The 20,708-nt window shown below is 36.6% G+C and overlaps 1 pseudogene across 1 annotated transcript in view, besides 1 other annotated feature; it reads left to right on the forward strand.

Moving 5' to 3' along the window:
• Positions 1-20,708, forward strand: part of EGFEM1P (EGF like and EMI domain containing 1, pseudogene) — a 581,078-nt pseudogene that overhangs the window by 123,619 nt on the left and 436,751 nt on the right. The gene's annotated exons all lie outside the window — the stretch shown is intronic.
• Positions 11,953-12,452: an enhancer, noted in NCBI's record as "H3K27ac hESC enhancer chr3:168102881-168103380 (GRCh37/hg19 assembly coordinates)". NCBI's record gives its function as "activates a minimal SCP1, AML or CMV promoter by ChIP-STARR-seq in primed H9 embryonic stem cells {active_cell/tissue: H9 hESC(primed)}" and the evidence as "EXISTENCE:reporter gene assay evidence [ECO:0000049][PMID:30033119]".

Below are 20,708 nucleotides of genomic sequence, written 5' to 3' on the forward strand. Positions count from 1 at the left end.
CTTGCTCCTGTAATCCCAGCAGTTTGGTAGACTGAGGTGGGTGGATCACCTGAGGTCAGGAGTTCGAGACCAGCCTGGCCAACATGGTGAAACCCTGTCTCTATTAAAAAAACAAAAATTAGCTGGCTGTGGTGGCGGGCACAGTAATCCCAGCTAATTGGAGGCTGAGGCAGGAGAATCACTTGAACCTGGAAGACAGAGGTTGCAGTGAGCCGAGATCATGCCACCGCATTCCAGCCTGGCAGCAGAGTGAGAGTCTGTCAAAAAAAAAAAAATGCATTTACTTGCTATTACATTATTCCTTCTTTATCTAAAAAAAAATACTTTACAATGGATAATCATTTTGTGGAAATAGTTTTAAAACATATGGCTTACATTTTACCTCTGTACTGAGTTGAATAGTGTTTCCACAAACTTCATGTCTACCCAGAACCTGTGACTTATTTGGAAATGAGGTGTTTGCAGATGTATTCAAATTAAAATGAGGTCATACCTTATTAGAGTGAGTACTAATTCAGTGATCAGTAGGAACAGGGAAATTTGGATACAGACACAGACAGAGGAGAGTGACATGTGAAGAAAGGGACAGATTGGAGTGATGTATATACAGGCCAAGGAATGCCTAAGATTGCTAGCAATCATCAGAAGCTAGGATAGAGGCATGGAAAAGGTTTTCTCTCAGAGGCTCCGGAAGGAACCAACCCTGCTGATGCCTTGGTTTTGGACTTCTAGCTACCAGAACTGTGAGAGAATAAATTTCTGCTGTCTTAAGCCTCCCAGTTTGCAGCACTTTTGTTGTGGAAACCCTAGGAAACTAATATACCATTTTACACAACATATTCTAAATGTAATGCAACTTTTATCTATGTTATAAACAATTTCTGCTTTGTTATCATGCCATGATGTTGTAAGGAACCTTTGAAGTGCATTGCATTGGATTTACCTTGCCCTTAAAGAAAGTAAACAAGGTAATTTTGCTGTCCTTGCTGGGCATTCTGTTGTCTTGTCAACAGCTATTACGTTTCTTTATATAGCTTTCCCTTTTTCTTCCTTTGTGTCTATGCAGCTGTTGCACTCCAAGAACTGAAGGTTTCCAGGAGAAAAGAGAAACCCAACCAACCAAAGTTTACTAAATCAGTTATTGAATTTCACCTGCAATTCTTAGTCTATGGGCTCAAGTTTGAGAGTCGTTGGTTTCCTAATGTATATTGGCCATAGTTGCTCTGGGAAAAATGGTGGGTGGTGGTGGTAATGCTTACTGTCAAAAACAGATTGGGAAATGCTGCCTATGGCACTTCTCCTGTGGCAAATTTATACTCTTACAAGATATATTCAAGACTTTCAGAAGTTTTAATGTAACAAACCTTATTTAAACTAACACTTGACACCAGAACCCTTTCTTTGTTGTCATCTATTAATATCTCATGATTCTACAGAAATCACTTTGAGGAACACATTTAAAGAGAAAAATGTCTGTTCCTTACTAAGCAGTTTTCTCTAAGCTCACAGCTGACACATTTTTTGGGGCTTTCAACTCAGACTTTGTTTTGAATATTTGAGGTTACCAAAAGCAGGAGGGTCAGAAACATGATGAGTTATTCTAATTTGTTTTTAACAGTAATTAATCTTCCTAAAGTACTCTTTATTTAGATAGGATTTTGTTTGTTGTTTCTTTGGGGCCATTTTGTATGTATTTTCCTGTCACAATCTAGGTGCTAAGAAAGATTAAATAAACTTCTGTTTGGAAAATTCTGTGTAAAACTGAAGTCAAAAACAGATAAGCAGACATTAGAGTTGGACTACCTGTTTTCTATCTGTATATTTAGTCCTTCACATTTCCCATGGTGTCTTGTTTTTGAGTTAATTATGTGGCATCATGTCATATATCTAATTATTTTAATTCAGAAACCAAACAGGGTTGCTGAAGTAGTGCTGCTGCTAGTCTCTTGAGGAGTGGGAACAAGTTATTCATGCATTCAGTCAAACAGCCTGATAAACCATCTTCGTGTCAAGTGTTGATCTAGGTGCTGGGGATACAGCAAGTGACAAAACATGCAAATTCCTGGCTCTATAATAGCACATATCCAAGTATGGAGAGACCAAAAATAAATGATACACCAGTAAGATTGCTAGTACGAGTTGGTTATAAGCATTATGAAGAAAAATAAAGTAGGCCTGGGCAAGAGGAATACAGGTGAGAGTGAGTGAAAGTTTGCCATTTGAATGATGATGGTCAGAAAAGGTATCGCTGAGATGGTAAAATGTGACAAGACACCCAAAGAAGGAAGGGAATAATCCATGTGGCTTGGAGTGAGACAGTGTTCTAGAAGGAGGGAACAACCAATGCGAAGGCTCAGAAGCAGGAGTGTCTGTGGTTGACTTAGTAACAGCACAGGCTAGTATCTATAGAGCAGAAGGGATGGGGGTGAAGAGGTGGGGTCATTGTGGGGGCCTTTAAGGCCTCTCTAAAAATTTTTGCTTCTCCCTTGAGTGGCATAGGAAGTCATTGGAGGACTGTGAACTGAGAAATGATATGATCTAGCTAACATTTTTACAGGAGTATAATGACCGTTAGGTTGTTGCCACCAGGCTCAAATACCACCACTCATAAAGGCATTTTTGAAATAGACTGAGGTAATTCCTCACGGAGGGGAACTGCTACTGTCAAACAGATGTCATCAGAACTATAAGAATATATTAGACTCTTTCAACATCGAGAAAATGATCAGGAATTGTAAGGAGTCACTATGGTGGGAATTTTTTTTTTTTTTAATTTGAGTTGAGAACCTGTCTGTATTCTTTTTTTACCAAAAAAATAAAGACTTGCTCAAGAAAGACATGTGTCCCTATCAGTTCTAAAAATATCATATCTGCTCTGATGGTTAATTGCTGCCAGATTAAAAAAATTCTTATTAAAACAAGTTTTATGTTATGAGAATTGTAGGTGAATTTAGAAGCCAGAGATACAAGAATGTCTTCAGCTTGTTTGAACGTGTTGTTGTTAAATAGAATTTTGAAAACTGATGAATAGAATAAAAAATTTATCCTGTTTTTCTCAAACTATGTCTAAGAACCAAATAATTGATTAGAAGGATAGTATTTTTATAGAAGTTTATCAATTAGTAAAGAACTGTGGTTATATGAACTATCCATTAATGAACCTACTACTTATAAAATGTATCCCCACTCAAACATATCTTCAGTCAGATATCTGTTCTGATTCTACCCCATTGTGTCAACTCCCTTTCTGTTCGTATATCAGTATAACATGCTTTTCTAATCAGCATGTTAGATGTGGATATATTGATTAGTAAAATGCAAATTATTTCTGAATGAAAGTAGTAATCACATAAAAGAAATGGGATTTTATAAAGTTCAAAAAAGTGGTCCTGGAGAACCATTTGAGCCTTTCTCAAAATTATTAATAAACAGTGGTCTAACAGAGTTATACTAGTTATCATTTGAAGAAGAAAACCATCATGGATTATCAAAGATAATGCTTTTAAAGTGAAAGTTTTGAATGCCAAATCAATAATAATACATAATAATAGTTATCAATTATTTAATGCATACCCTATGCTGAGTATTGTTCCAAGTGCTTTCTATGCAGTCTCAGTTGGAATATTGGTTTGGCTGAGTGTGGCAAAGGATCACAATAATAGGAGTTTAGATAAGCTAGAAGTTTATTTTTTATTTTTAAAGTGTAAACTGATAGAATGGCTTGGCTCCGCACAGTTCTGAGGCCTAGGCTCCTTCCATGCTGTTGCTTTGCTTTCCTAGTGTTTGACTCATTGGTACAATTCAAGAACTATCACTCTCTTGCATGCACTTCTCGGAGTCTTAGTTTTCTTCCCTGTAAGGGTCAAAACTGGAAGTTACACATATCACTTTTGCTCATATGCCATTGTTGAGTACTTAGTCACTTGGCCATATCTAATTTCAAGGATGGCAGGGAAATGTAGTGTTTCTTCTTGGTTGCCCTGTGTCCAGGTGACCACAGGCCTAGATTATTTTATTCCGTAGTGATAGCAATCATATTAGGTAGGTGCCATTATGATCGCTGTATTGTAAATAAGACATCTTAGACAAGAAAAAATTTTGATAATTTTCACAAAGTGAGGGAATTCTTTAAATGTTTCGCAAATATATGACTTTTGTTCTTCCTTTGCACATCTAAAGGAATGTCAGTGTTTCTCAAAAATTTAGTGGTAAAAGACCAGGGTTTTTTTTTTGTTGTTGTTCTTTGTGTTTTACTTAAACCATTTTATACATATTTCAAAAATTTATAATTTTTTTTGTGGTTACATAGTAGATGTATGTATTTATGGGGTACATCAGATATTATGATACAGGCATGCAATACATAGTAATCACATCATGGAAAATGGGATCTCCATTCCTTCATGCATTTATCCTTTGTGTTACAAACAATCCAATTATACTCTTTTTTTGTTCTTTTAAAATATACAATTAAATAATTATTGACTATAGTCACTCTTTGTGCTATCAAATACTAGGTCTTATTCATTTTAACTATTTTTCACCCTTTAGCCATCCCCACCTTCCCCCACCAGTCCCCCACTACTCTTCCCAGCCTCTGGTAACCATCCTTCTACTCTTTATGTCCATGAGTTCAATTGTTTTGATTTTTAGATCCCACAAATAAGTGAGAACGTGTTTGTCTTTCTGTGCCTGGCTTATTTCACTTAACATAGTGATATCCAGTTGCATCCATGTTGACACAAATGACAGGATCTGATTCCTTTTTAATGGCTGAATAGTACTCCATTGTGTATAAGCATCACATTTTCTTTTTCCATTCATATGTTGATGGACACTTAGGTTGCTTCCAAATTTTGGTTACTGTGAACAGTGCTAAAACAAACATGGGTGTGCAGATACCTCTTTGATATACTGATTTTCTTTCTTTTGGATATATACCCAGCAGTGGGATTGCTGGAGCATATGGTAGCTCTATTTTTAGTTTTTTGAGGAACCTCCAAACTGTTCTTCATAATGGTTGTACTAATTTACATTCTCACCAACAGTGTATGAGGGTTCCCTTTTCTCCACATCCTTGCCAGTATTTTTTATTGCTTGTCTTTTGGATAAAAGCCATTTTAACTGGGGTGAGATGATATCTCATTGGAGTTTTGATTTGTACTTCTCTGAAGATCAATGATGTTGAGAACCTTTTCATAGGCCTCTTTGTAACTTGTATGTCTTCTTTTGAGAAATGTCTATTCAAATCTTATGCCCATTTTTAAATCAAATTTTTAGATTTTTTCCTGTTGAGATGTTTGAGCTCCTTACATATTCTGGTTATTGATCCCTTGTCAGAGGGGTAGTTTGCACATATTTTCTTCCATTCTGTGGATTGTGTCTTCACTTTGTTGATGGTTTTTTGGACTGTGCAGAGGCTTTTGAATTTGATGTGATCCCATTTACTCATTTCCGATTTGGTTGCCTGTGCTTGTAGGATATTTCTCAAAAAATGTTTGGCCAGACCAATGTCCTGGAGAGTTTTCCAATGTTTTCTTGTAGTAGTTTCATAACTTGAGGTCTTGGATTTATGTCTTTAAATCATTTTAATTTGATTTTTGTATATTGTGAGAGATATCAGTGTAATTTTGTTCTTCTCCTTATGGATATCCAGTTTTCCCAGCATTTATTAAAAAGGCTGTCTTATTCCCAATGTATGTTCTTGGCACCTTTGTCAAAAATGAGTTAACTGTAGGTGTGTGGATTCGTTTCTGGGTTCTCTATTCTGTTCCATTTGTCCATTTGTCTGTTTTTATGCCAATACCATGCTGTTTGGGGTTACTATATCTCTGTAGTATAATTTGAGGTCAGGTAATGTGATTCCTTCAGTCATGTTCTTTTTGCTTTGGCCATTCTGGGTCTTTTGTGATTCCATATTAGTCTTAGGATTGTTTTTTCTATTTCTCTTGTGAAGAATGTTATTGGTATTTTCATAGAAATTGCATTGGATCTGTAGATTGCTTTGGGTAGTATGGATATTTTAACAGTATTGATTCTTCTGATCCATAAATATAGAATATCTTTCCAATTTTTGGTGAACTCTTCAACTTCTTTCATCAGCCTTTCACGGTTTTCATTGTAGAGATCCTTCACTTTTTTGCTTAACTTAATTCCTAGGTATTTAATTTTATTTGTGGCTACTGTAAATTGAATTACTTTTTTATTTCCTTTTTACATTGTTCACTGTTGGCATATAGAAATTTTACTAATTTTTGTATATTGATTTTGTATCCTGCAACTTTGCTGAATTTTTTATCAGTTCCAATGGTTTTTTTGCGGGATTTTTAGATTTTTTCCAAATGTAAGATTATATCTGCAAACAGGGATCATTTAACTTCTTCCTTTACAACTTAGATGTTCTTATTTCCTTCTCTTGTCTGATTGCTTTAGTTAGAACTTCCAGTAATATGTTGACTAACAGTTGTCAAAAGTGAGCATTCTTTTCATATTCCAGTTCTTGAAGGAAAGACTTTCAATTTTTCCTCATTCAGTGTGATAATAGCTGTGGGTCTTTCATATATGACTTTTATTATGTTGAGGTATGTTTCTCCTATACCCAGTTTTTTATTTTTGAGGGCTTTTATCATGAAGGATGTTGAATTTTATCAACTGCTTTCAGCATCAATTGAAATGATCATATGGTTTTTGTCCTTCATTCTGTTGATATGATGTATCACATTGATTGAATTGCATATGTTCAATCATCCTTATGTCCCTGGGGTAAGTCCCACTTGGTCATGATAAATGATTTTTCTAATGTTTTGATGAATTTGGTTTCTAGTATTTTGTTGAGGATTTTTGCATTACTATTCATCAGAAATTTTGGCTTGTAGTTTTCTTTTTTTTTGCTGTATCTTTATCTGGTTTTGGTACCAAGGTAAGAGTGGCCTCATAGAATTAGTTTGGAAGCATTCTTTCCTGCTTTGTTTTTCAGAACAGTTTGAGTGGGATTGGTATTCTTTAAATGTTTGGCAGAGTTCAGCAGTGAAGCCATCAGGTCTTGGGCTTTTCATTACTAGAAGACTTTTTATTATGACTTCAATCTCGTTACTGGTCTGTTCAGGTTTTGGATTTCTTCATGGTTCAATCTTGATAGGTTGTATGTCTCTAGGAATTTATCCATTTCCTGGAGATTTTCCAATTTATTGGCATATAGTTGCCATAGTAGCCACTAATGATACTTTGAATTTCTGCAGTATCAGTTGTAATGTCTTCTTTTTCATCTCTGATTTTATTTATGTGGGTCTTTTCCATTGTTTTTCTTAGTCTGACTAATAGTTTGTCAATCTTGATCTTTCTTTTTTTTTTTTTTTTTTGTTTTTGGAGATGGAGTCTTTCTCTGTTGCCCAGGCTGGAGTGCGATGGCATGGTCTCAGCTCACTGCAATCTCTGCCTCCCTGGTTCAAGCGATTCTCCTGCTTCAGCCTCCCGAGTAGTTGGGATTACAGGTGCCCACTGGCACGCCTGGCTAATTTTTGTATTTTTAGTAGAGATGGGGTTTCACCATGTTGGCCAGGCTGGTCTTGAACTCCTGACCTCAGGTGATCCACCTGCCTCGGCCTCCCAAAGTGCTGGGATTTAGAGGCATGAGCCACCGTGCCCGGCCAATTTTGATCTTTTCAAAACACCAACTTTTTGTTTCATTGATCTTTTATATTGTGTTATTCATTTCAAATACGTTTATTTCTGCTCTAATTTTTATTATTTCTTTTCTTTTACAAATTGTGAGTTCAGCTTGCTTTTGTTATTTTTAATTCTTTAAGATGCATTTTTAGGTTATCTATTTGAATGTTTTCTTCTTTTTTGATGTGGGCACTAATAGCTATAAATTTCCCTTTTACTACTTCTTTCACTGTATCCCATAGGTTTTGGTTTTTGATACTTCTGTTACCATTTATTTCAATAACTTTTTCAATTTTCTTAATTTCTTCCTTGATCCACTAGTCATTCTGGAGCATATTGTTTAATTTCCATGTATTTGCATGGTTTGCAAAATTCCTCATTATTGATTTCTAGTTTTATTCCATTATGGTCAGAGAAGATGTTTGACATTACTTCAGTTTTTTTGAATGTTTTAAGACTTATTTTGTGACCTAACATACAGTCTGTCCTTGAGCATGATCGATATGCTGAGGAGAAGAATGTGACTTCTGTAGTGGTTGCATGACACATTCTATTAATATCTGTTAGAACCATTTGTTCTATACTGCAGATTAAGTCTACTGTTTCTTCGTTGATTTTCTGTCTAGAAGATCTGTCCAATGCTGAAAGTGGAGTGTTGGAGTCTCCAGCTGTTATTGTATCGAGGTCTATCTCTCTCTTTAGTGCTAATAATATTTGCTTTATATATCTGTGTGCCCCATTGTTGGGTGCATATATATTTAAAATTATTATATCCTCCTGCTTAATTGACCCCTTTATTATTATATAATGACCTTCTTTGTCTCACAGTTGTCTTGAAATCTATTTTGTCTGATATAAGTATAGCTATTTTTGTCCTTTTTGGATTGCATTGTCATGGAATATCTTTTTTCATTTCTTTAATTTTTAACCTGTGTGTATCTTTAGAGGTAAAGTGTATTTCTTGTAGACAACGGATCATTGGATCTTGTTTCTTCATTCAGCCATTCTACAGCTTTTGATTGGAGAGTTTAGCCCATTTACCTTCAATGTTATTATTGATAAGTAGGGAGTTACCTTGCCTTGCCATTTTGTTATTTGTTTTCTTTTTTTTTTTTTTTTTTTTGTGGTCTTCTCTTTCTTCTTTCCCTGTCTTACTTTTAGTGAAGGTGATTTTCTCTGGTTGTATGATATAATTTCTTTAATTTTTTGCTTGTCTATTGCATCGTTTTTGATTTGAGGTTACCATTAGGCTTGCAAATACTGTCCTGTAACCTATGATTTTAAACTGATGACCACTTAACACTGATCACATAAACACACAAAAGAAAAACTAATAAAATGCTACACTTTAACTTTTTTCCCTACTTTTTAACTTTTTGTTGTTTCTGTTTCTGTCTTATTGCACTACGTCTTGAAAAATTGTTGTAGTTATTTTTTTTTATTGGTTCATCATCTAGTCTTTCTACTTAAGAGTGGTTTACATACCATAATTACAGTGTGATAATAATCTGTGTTTTTCTGTATGTTTACTATTACCAATGAGTTTTGTACGTTCAGATGATTTCTTCTTGTTGATTAACATCCTTTTATTACAGAATGAAGAACTTTCTTTAGCATTTCTTGTAGGATAGGTCTTGTATTGATGAAATCCCTCAGCTTTTGTTTGTCTGGGAAGGTCTTTATTTCTCCTTCATTATTAAAGGTTATTTTCTCTGGATATACTATATACAGTAAAAGTTATTTTCCTGCAACAGTTTAAATATGTCACGCCACTCTTTCCTGGTCTTAAGGTTTCCACTGAAAAGTCTCCTGTCACATGTATTGGCACTCCATTTTACGTTATTTGTTTCTTTTCTCTCACTGCTTTTAGGATCTTTTCTTTATGCTTAACCTTTGGGACTTTCATTATTAAATGTCTTGAGGTAGTCTTCTTTGGGTTAAATCTGCCTGGTGTTCTATAACCTTCTTCTACTTTGATATTGATATCTTTCCCTAGGTTTGGGAAGTTCTCCATTATTACCCCTTTTAATAAACTTTCTACCCCATATCTTTCTCTACCTCCTTGTTGTATCAAATAACTCTTAGATTTGGTTATTTGAGGCTATTTTCTAGATCATGCAGGTGTGACTTTTTGTTTTTTTTGTTATTTAAGTTCTAGGCTACATGTGCACAATGTGCAGGTTTGTTACATATGTATACATGTGCCATATTGATGTGTTTTTAATTCTTTTTTTCTTTTTTGTCTCCTCTGACTGTACTTTCAAATAGCTGGTCTTCATGCTCATTAGTTCTTCTGCTTTATCAATTCTGCTATTAAGAGTCTCTGATGTATTCTTCAGCATGTCAGTTCCATTTTTCAACTCTAGCATTCCTTCTTAATTCTTTTTAATTGTTTCAATCTCTTTGTTAATTTTATCTGATACAATTCTGAATTCCTTCTCTGTGTGATTTTGAATTTCTTTGAGTTTTTTCAAATAGCTATTTTGAGTTCTCTGTCTGAAAGGTCACATATCTCTGTTTCTCCAGGATTGGTCCCTGGTGCCTTCTTTAGCTCATTTGGTGAAGCCATGTTTTCCTGGATGTTCTTGATGCTTATAGATGTTCTTTGGTGTCTGAACATTGAAGATATTTATTATAGTGTTTGCAGTCTGGGCTTATTTTCATCTGTCCTTCTTGGTATGGCTTTCCAGGTATTTGAAGAGACTTGGGCCCTAAGCCCAATAATACTGTGGTTTTTGTAGACTCATAGAAGTATCACCTTGGTGGTCTTGGATAAGATTCAGAAGAATTCTCTGGATTACCAGGCAGAGACTATTATTCTTTTCCTTTAATTCCTCCCATACATTTGGAATTTCTCTGGCTAAGCCATCTGGAACTAGGGGTGTGGTCATGCAAGCACCATATGGCCACCACCATTTGGACTGTGTTTGGTCAGACCTGAAGCCAGCACAGCACTGGCTGTCACGCAAGGCCTACTGTAACCACTGCCTGGCTACCACCTATGTTCAATCAGTACCCTAGGGTGGATCCACATGCACCCTCCCTTCCCAGGCGCTGGCTGAGCCCAGCATGATTTTGCTCTTTGATGTGACTAAGGTCCTATGATCAGCAGGTAGCAAAGCCAGCCAGGTTTATGTCCTTCCTTTCAGGACAGTGAGTTCTCCTATGGCCCAGGAAGGTCCATAGATACTATCTGGGAGCTAGAGATTAGAGTCAAAAACCTTAGAAATTTAGCTTATGTTCTATTCTACTGTGGCTAACCTGGTACTCATACCACAATACAAAGATTTTCCTGCTGTTCCTTTACCTTTCAATAGGCAGAGAGCCTCTCCCTGTGGCCACTATCACCACAGCCCACAGGGGGTTCTGCCAGGCCACTGCTGATGTTCACTTAAAGTCCAAGGGCTCTTCAGTCAGCCTGTAGTGATTGCTTCCAGACCTGGAACTCGTCCTTCAGGGCACTGGGCTCCCCTCTGGCCTGGGCTCATCCAGAAATTGTTCCAAGAGCCTAGGTCTGGACTTGGGGACTCCAAAAGCCTGCTTGTTGCTCTACCTCACTATGGCCAAGCTGGTACATAAGGTGTAAGACAAAGTCCCTTTTACTTCACTATAGCCACCACAGCTGGGAATGTACTGCATGGCATCTAAAGCCAGCACATCTCAGAGCCCAAGGCCCATAGTATATTACCTTGGTATTGCCACCGGTTATTCAGAGCCCAAGGGCTCCTTAGTCAGCAGGTGATGAATCTCACCAGGACTGGGTCCTTCCCTTCAAGGCAGTGGGTTCCCTTCTGTCCCATAGTGTTTCTAGAAATGTCATCTGTAAGCTGGGGCCTGGATTGGAGGCCTCATGACTCTGCCCAGTGCCCTATCCTCCTATGGCTGAGCTGGTACCCAAGATGCAAGACAAAGTCATCTTTATTCTTCATTCTCCTCTCATTAAGCAGAAGGAAGGAGTCACTTTTGTAGCTTCCAGCTGCACTGCCTGGGGTTGAAGGAGAGGTGGCACAAGCACTCCCTTGGCCACCCTGGCTGGAGTCTTCCTAGGTCATGTGCTACCCTAGTCCACTGGTTCTAAGCCCAGCCCAGCACTAGGAGTTGCCTAGGAATTATAATTCTATATAGTACTATATAGTATTTGTGTCCTAGACTGCCTTTTGAGCTTACCTATGACCCCAGAATGCTTTGGCCCATGTTGGCAAGGCTTACCAAGAAACTCAAGTTCATATGCCTGGGAAGGGCAACTTTCTTCTGGCTAGGGTGTGTTCGAATGTTCCCTCCTTGTTCAGGCCCTGGCTGAGCCCAGCATGGTTTTGCTGTCTGCGTGAAACAGCAGCACTGAGTTCAATGTAAGTCCCCCATTCAGTGCGCTCTCCCTTCCCCAAGAGCACAGACTCTCTCTGTGCTACAGGGCTGCTGCTGGGAGGTGGGAGAGGGGTGGCGTCTGCGATTCAAGCCTGTCTCTCCTACCTTCTTAAATGCCTCTTTCCACGACGTGAAGTAAAACCAGGTATTGTGATAGCTCACTTATTTTTGGGTCCTGTGATGGTGCTTTTCTGTGTGCAGATAGTTGTTAAAATTTGGTCTTCCTGTGGGGGATGGGGGAACGAATGGTATAGGCTTCTATTTTGCCATCTTGTGCTGCCCTCCTAGACTGATATTTTTGTAAATTTCTGTAGATATAGCAATTGCTGTAAAAGTTTCTAAACCACCTACTTTTGTTTATGTACATATCTTGTTGTAGACCAGGGAAACTAGTTTGTGTACTGGCACCACTTCTTAGATCCTATTCTATCCTATTTGTATAGCTGGGAATTAAGCTGTATAGTTTTAACAATCAGCTTTATTAGAAAAAAATTATACTGCCTCTTATGCCTGACATGCTTATTTGATCCAATCTTTTTTGCTTCAAAAACTGTAATTGCACAGCTGCAATTATAACTAATATACATGTGTATGTATGTGTGTGTGTGTGTGTTAAAGGGTAATTATTTTCATAATTTTCAGTTTTACCTGTCAAAAATTTTAATTTTACTACTTACATAGAAAGCTTAGACTTCATTGTATTTGCATTTTCTATCAGTTAGCTTTTTATAAAATACTAATTATCCTCAGGGACTGCTTTATGTACATTTCCAAGTATACTCAAACCTTCTTGTAGTCATGAGAGCTGTGAGATCCCTTAATTTCCAAAAATAATTTGATTATACTTACACTAAAAGACACATGTCAATATGTTTATCAAATACACATAGGAAAAATTCAATAAATTTTTTGCAGGATGGGTAGCAGATATAGCTATCATCTAGGATAGTTAACGCCATCTCATGTCATATGTAAATTCTCCATTGGTTGTGGATACCTGCTCAACTGGTTGCGGATACCTGGAATATCATGTTGAGAAAGATCTTGAGTCCAAGTAGGTTCAGCTAGGAAAGCTTGTCATGTGTGATTAATGATGTCTAGAAGAGGAGCAGGTGAGGAGGCATGAATTCTATGTATTTTCCTCTATTAAGTATTATGCTTGTTCTGAGCTTCCAGCAGCAAAGGAAAAGCATTAAACATGGTGGATTATGTTCATTATCTAATGAAAATAAACATTCACATTTGTAAGAAAGATAGATGTTTTCCTTGTTCTAAATTCTAAAATGAATTTGTTTTTCTAGATGGAAGGAACATTGTAAAATATGATGAGTTGGTATTTTTCATTGATTCAGTAGGTATATAACAATGGTTTTCAGTAGATATACAAACTGTGATATACCACTTTAAAAAATATCAATCCTTGATAATCTAAGACCATATCAGAAGGAAGAAACAAGGATTATTTTTATGAGAATTTTCAAAAATATTACATTGTACTTGTAAATAGTGACAAAGAAAGCTAGAATATATTTACAGAAATTCAACTAATCAATCTGTCAGACCCTCTTTTTCTCTATACAAACTTATAGGTTTATAGGTTCTTTTATTTTTTTTCAAATCCTTTCGTTTTTCTTCTCTGACCAAAAAGATGATGTACATTATACTGAAGAGAAAGACACTCAGCAATGAAGTATGGATTTGGATATAACAGGGAGATTAAACGGTCCTGAAAGGTGATATATGCCAACTTCCAAATTATAACTAGTGTTCTAACAGTGGTGTTGACAACCTGTGACTATGGCAGAAGCAGCATGGAGATGATTTTTAATAATTCATGAAGGCAGAAGATATAATTGTGTAGCCAGGGTGCTCTGCTGCTTTCTTCTCTAGGCACCTTTCCCACTTCCCACCACCTCTTCTTTTTCTTCAGATACTCATGCGCTTTATTTTGTCCCTTGTCAACATTTTCTACCCCTCTCTCTATTTCTGCCCTTCTCAGAAGTATACAGTTTTCGAGTTTAGTAGGAGCAGATTTGATGATGATCTCTAATCTTGTTATTTTTTCAGTTGGCAAAACTGAGTTTAAGCTGTTAACTGTTTAAGGTATTACCTCTCACTAGTGAAACCTTAGTAATGTTTCAAGCTCAAAATAATCCCTTTTTATTTGATTTTTGTTAGGTTTTGAAGGGAAGGTGAGTGTTAAAGACACACACACACACACACACACCAACACACAGAAAGAGGGCGGCTTAACAGCAAATGCAGGCTTTATGCTCAGCATAAAACCTACAGAAGTGGAGCACCAGCCTAATGCCAGAGCCCACAGTTGGTTACAGGCTGGGGGTACTTATTGGTATGGGCTGCCCGGCAGGATATTGATAAGATGTTCCCATGATGAGGCGGTTCTGGCCCTTGTTCCAGGGGGATGCCATCCTGGTGCTCCAAGCCTTTGTCCAGCAAGATATGATAGGGATGTTTCTTTAGTTCGGCCTTTGTCCACCTTGTGGTCAGGTGGTTAGGCAGGATCTTTCTCATGACTCGAACCCCTGTGAAATATTTCACTTTGACCAAGGTATAAAAAATAGCAGGGAGCTTACAAAATGGTGCAGTTTGGTCTAACAGTTTTATCTATCAAAATTTAAAACTATCAGTATTATTCATACAATAAATAACACTATTATAAATAACTCTTAGTAGGTAAATGCATTTTAATTACTGTTGGTGGGAGTGTAAATTAGTTCAACCATTATGGAAGGATCTAGAACTAGAAATACTGTTTGACCCAGCAATCCCATTATTGGGTATATACCCAAAGGATTATAAATCATGCTACTATAAAGACACATGCACATGTATGTTTATTGTGGCACTATTCACAATAACAAAGACTTGGAACCAACCCAAATGTCCATCAATGATACACTGGATTAAGAAAATGTGGCACATATACACCATGGAATAGTATGCAGCCATAAAAAAAGGATGAGTTCATGTCCTTTGCAGGGACATGGATGAAGCTAGGAACCATTCTCAGCAAGCTATCACAAGGACAGAAAACCAAACACCACATGTTCTCACTCATAGGTGGGAATTGAACAATGCTTGGATGCAGGGCTGGGAACATCACACACTGGGGCCTGTTGAGAGGGGGTAGTTGGGGGAGGGATAGCATTAGGAGAATGTAAATGACAAGTTGATGGGTGCAGCAAACCAACATGGCACATGTATACCTATGTAACAAACCTGCACGTTGTGCACATGTACCCTAGAACTTAAAACAAACAAAAACAAACATTAATTGTAGAGATTTCCACTTCTGGTCACAGTACAGTAGCAGAAACTAGATTTAGGGTATTATGTGAAACAACCCCTTCAAAGTAGACAGAATATATGAAACAATAGATTTTAAGACAAAAGGCATCAGGCCACGAAACTTAGTAACCTGTGAGACAGAAGGCAAATGAGGTATTGCCTATGATTGTCCCAGGTTACAGTCTTAAGAGAGTTTCTAGGCTATTGTACTGGGAGGGTGAACCCAGCCAGCACCTGTCAGACTCCCTGATTTGAGAAGACAGAGCTGAGAGTCTGGGGAAACTCAGTATTCTAGAGTTTCCACGACAGAGTACTAGAAAGGAGAGACAACTACACAGTGAGAGAATGCTGGAGATCTTCAGAGGATCCCCCTCGGGTCTCCGTACTGACCATCAAAGTCACTGGGAGAAGAATAATTTGAAAGGATTAAAAGGAATAGTGTCTGACACTCACAGGGTAAAGTGTCTGCTCCTACTAGCCAGACTGAAAAATTTATAATTAGTGAGTGATCGGGAGAATACTCAGTAGTGGGGAGGTTGGGGCTAGAAAATGATACCTCCAAATGAAGGCATCAGAAGAAGTCTCAGAAGCAAAGTTTCTCTCTGAACTCCTCTTGTTCTCCTGTCTCTCATTCTCCCTTGAGGCTAGCCAAACAAACCAGAATCCCTCTTCTCCAAGGCAAGTCAGAGACACCAGAGCCCCTTTTCCCAAAGCTATTCATAAAACCTCAAAATAAACGTTACTGTAACTTTCCCTCCACCTTTCTGTGTAAAAGCTGGTCATAAAGAAATTATCTGGCCTACCATGTTTGATTGTAAGCCATAGGATCCCCATTTCAGAATGGGTCCTTCCCCATACCCAGAAGGAAGAAATGCTTCAGAGAGAGTCCCCAAGAGGAATCTAAATAGATAGGCCTTGCTGGGATTTCCCCTCCATCTATAAACATTGGCTCATATCCTTTGTGTCCAATTATATTTCTACACAGCTGTTCATACTTGGCTGAACCTATGCAGAAAAATGAACAGCTTCTCCTGTGTCTTGGGCCTTCATTCTGAAGGCTTTTCTGTCGCATAAAATTATGGTTAAATAAATTTGTAAGCATTTTATCCTATTAATTTGTGTCTTGTCAGTTGATTTTCAGCAAACCTTCAGAGGGTGAAAGGGAAGTTTTCCATTGCCCCAACAGGAATAAATAGCCCTAGTAGTGCTTTGAACCTATCTAATAAGTTATAAAAGAAAACCAGAAGGGACCAAACTGTAACCAAGTAACTGAACTTTTCAGATGACTCAGAATAACTACAGAGGTAAACCCTACTGGGCCATAAAACAAATCTCAATAAATTTAAAATGATCCAAATTCATACAAATATATTCTCAGACCACAATGGAAATAATGTAAAATTAGTAACAGAAAGATATTTGAAAAAATTCCTTAAATATTTGAAAACCAATTATAACACACTTCTAAATAACCCATGGGTCAAATAAGGAATCAAAAATGGAAAATAAAAAGTAGTTTGAACTAAATACAAATGGATATACAACATAATCAGACTTTGTGAGATGCTGCTAAAGCAGTACTTTGGGGGAAATTTTTAGCACTAAATGCTTATATTGGAAATGAATAAAGATCTCTAATTAGTGACCTCAGCTTCCACTCTAAGCAACCAGAAGATAAGTACAAATTAAAACTAAGCAGAAAAAAGGAAATACTAAATATCAGAGAAAAAATCAGTAAAACAGCAAACAGGAAAATAGATAAGATCAATGAAACAAAAAACTGGGTCTTTGAGAAGATTAATGAAATTGATCAATCTCTAGCCAGACTGATAAGAAAACAAGAGAGTGAAGATGTAAATTGCCACAATCAAAATGAGAAAGGTGACATTACTGTAGATTCTACACCTACTAAAAAGACAAGAAAATATTGTGGGGTGGGTGTGGTGGCTCATGCCTGTAATCCCAGCACTTTGGGAGGCCGAGGCGGGAGGATTACCTGAGGTCAAGAGTTCAAGACCAGCCTGACCAACATGGTGAAACCCCCGTCTCTACTAATACATTAAAAAAAAAAAAAAAAAAGCCGGGCATGATGGCACACACCTGTAATTCCAGCTACTCGGGAGGTTGAGGCAAGAGAATTGCTTGAACCTGGGAGGCAGAGGTTGCAGTGAGTTGAAATTGTGCCATTGCGTTCCAGCCTGAGCAACAAGAGTGAAACTCTGTCTCAAAAAAAAAAAAAAAAATACTGTGAATAATTTTATGCCAAGAAATTCAACAACTTAGATGTAATGAGCATATTCATTGAAAGACACAAATTACCAAAGCTCATTCAATAAGAAATCAATAACCTGAATAGCAGTGTACTTATATATAAACAAATTGCATTTGTAGTTCAAAATGTCCAACAAAGAAAACTCCAGACCTATAAGGCTTCGCTGGTAAATTCTACTAAACATTTAAGGAGGAAATAATATCAATTCTATAAAAACTCTTTTGTAAAATTTAAGAAAATACTTCCCAAATCATGTGACCAGCATTGTCATGGTACCAAAACTAGATAAAAAAATTCCAAGAGGAAAAACTAACTGTAGCCCAATATCCTTCATTAATATTAATGTAAAATCTCTAAATAAATATTTTAGAAAATCAAACAATGTGTACAAAGGATAATGCGTAATGACCAAATGAGGTTTATCCCAGGAATGTAGTGTAATATGGTTATGAACTAACTAATTAACAAATTTTAAAAAAAACATAAAAAAGAATGAGATCATGTCCTTTGCGGGGACATGGATGGGGCTGGAGGCCATTATCCTTAGCAAACTGACACAGGAACGGAAAACAAAATAAATGTTCCTGTTCCTACTTACAAGTGGAAGCTAAATGATGTGAACACATGGACACATAGAGGGGAAAAACACACTCTGGGGCCTATAAGAGGGTGGAGGGGGCGAGGAGGGAGAGGATCAGGAAAAACAACTAATGAGTACAAGGCTTAATACCTGGGTGGTGAAGTAATCTGTACAACCCTTATGACACATGTTTACCTATGTAATAAACCTGTACATTTTGCACATGTACCCATGAACTTAAAAGTTAAATAAAAGAAAGAAAACATTTGATCATCTCAATAGGTACATAAAAAGCATTTGACAAATTTAGTATTCTTTTAAAATTGTATTTATTTTTAAAATTATTTTTCCATAAGTTATTGGGGTACAGGTGGTATTTGGTTACATGAGTAAGTTCTTTAGTGGTGATTTGTGAGATTTTGGTGCACCCATCACCCAAGAGGTATACACTGCACTATATTTGTAGTCTTTGATCCCTCACTCCCCTCCCACTCTTCCCCCCAAGTCCCCAAAGTCCATTGTATCATTCTTAGCCTTTGCATCCTTATAGTTTATCTCTCACATATCATTAAGAACATATGATATTAGGTTTTCCATTCTTGAGTTGCTTCACTTAGAATAATAGTCTCCAATCTCATCCAGGTCGCTGCTAATGCTGTCAATTCATTCATTTTTATGGCTGAGTAGTAGTCCATCATATATGTATGTATATATATATATATATATATATATATATACACACACACACACCCCACACAGTTTCTTTATCCACTAGTATTCCTTTTGACAGAAAGTCTGAGCTAAGTAGGAATAGAAGAGAAGCTCCTCAACTTGTTACAGGGCATCTACAAAAAAACCCTTATAGCTGATATCATAATTAATGGTGAAAATAGTGAATTTTTCCTAGTATAATGAGGAACAAGAGAAGAATGTATACTCTCACTACTTCTATTAAACATTATACAGAGGTTCTGGCAAGTAAAATTAGGCAAAAAAAAGAAATTAAAGTTGTTTTGATTGGAAAAGAAGTAAAACTGTCTTTATTTGCAGATGGCTGATTGTCAAAAATCTGATAAAATCTGTAAAAAAGATACTGGGACTAATAAATTTAGCATGTTGGCAAGACATAAGACAAATATTAAAAATTAAATATATTTTTATATACTAGCAACAAATAATATTTAAACTCACAAAGCAATATCACAATAGAGAGAAAAGGTATGGAATAGTTTGGGATAAATCTGATAAAATATTTGAAAGAATTGTATGCTGAAAATTGCAAAACACTACTGACAGAAATAAAGCCCTAAGTCCACGGGGAATATATGTCAGGATCATGGGTTAGAAGATACAATATTGTTAAAAGCCATTTCTCCCCAAATTGTAGATTTAATACAGTCCTACCCAAAAACTCAGCATCTAATTTTTTGGTAGAAATTGATTAACTTATTCTAAAAATCATGTGGAAATGTAAAGGACCCAGAATAGTCAAAACAACTTTGCAGTAGGAGACACGTTAGAGCACTAACATTACCTGATATCAAAGCTTACAAATCTACAACAATCAAGAAAGTACGGTGTTGGCATAACAATAGATAAATATATCAATGGAACAGAAGAAGAGAGCCCAGAAATAGACTTACTCATGCACACATAGACTGCTGAATTTCTACAAAGCTGCAAAGCCAATTCAGTGGGTAGTTCTGCTGTTGTTTTTCAACAAATGATGCTAAAATTATTGGATGTCCATAGGCAGCAAAAAGGAATGCAACAGAAAATATGTAATTTAAAACAGATCATAGATCTAAATGTAAAACAAAAACTATGAAAGTTTTTTGAAGGAGACATAAAAGAATCTTTGTGATATTGGGCTAGGCAAAGATTTCTTACATGTGATGTCAAAAGTACAATCCTTAAAGCAAATTGATAAAACTTGGCCAAAATTAAAAATTTCTGCTCTTGGAAATAGATTGTTAAGGGAATAAAAATAAGCTACAAAATGGGATAATTTTACAAAGCATACATCTGATAAAGGATATGTATTCTGGACACATGAAGAACCATCAGAATTCAAAAAGAAAACAACTCAATTTCAAAAATAGGCAAAAATTAAAAAATAATGAAATCCTGTCATTTGCAGCAACATGGATGAGCTTAGAGGACATTACTTTAAGTAAAATAAGCCAGGCACAGAAAAGCAAATATCACATGTTCTCGCTGATATGTGGGAGCTAAAAATGTGGATCATATGGAGGTAGAGAGTAGGATTGTGGTTACTAGACTTGGGAAGAGTAGTGGGAAATAGAGGATGAAAAGAGATTGGTTTTTAGGTACAACAATACAGTTAAATAGAAGGAGTAAGTTCTAGTGGTGTTCAATAGCACAGTAGGAGGACTACTTAAAAATAACTTATTGTATATTTCCAAATAGTGAGAAGAGAAGATTTGGAATGTTCCCAACATGAAGAGATGGTAAATGTTTGAGGTGATATCCCAATTACTCCAATTTGATCAT

This window comes from Homo sapiens, chromosome 3 (genome assembly GCF_000001405.40).
Source record: "Homo sapiens chromosome 3, GRCh38.p14 Primary Assembly".
Taxonomy (NCBI): Eukaryota; Metazoa; Chordata; class Mammalia; order Primates; family Hominidae; genus Homo; species Homo sapiens.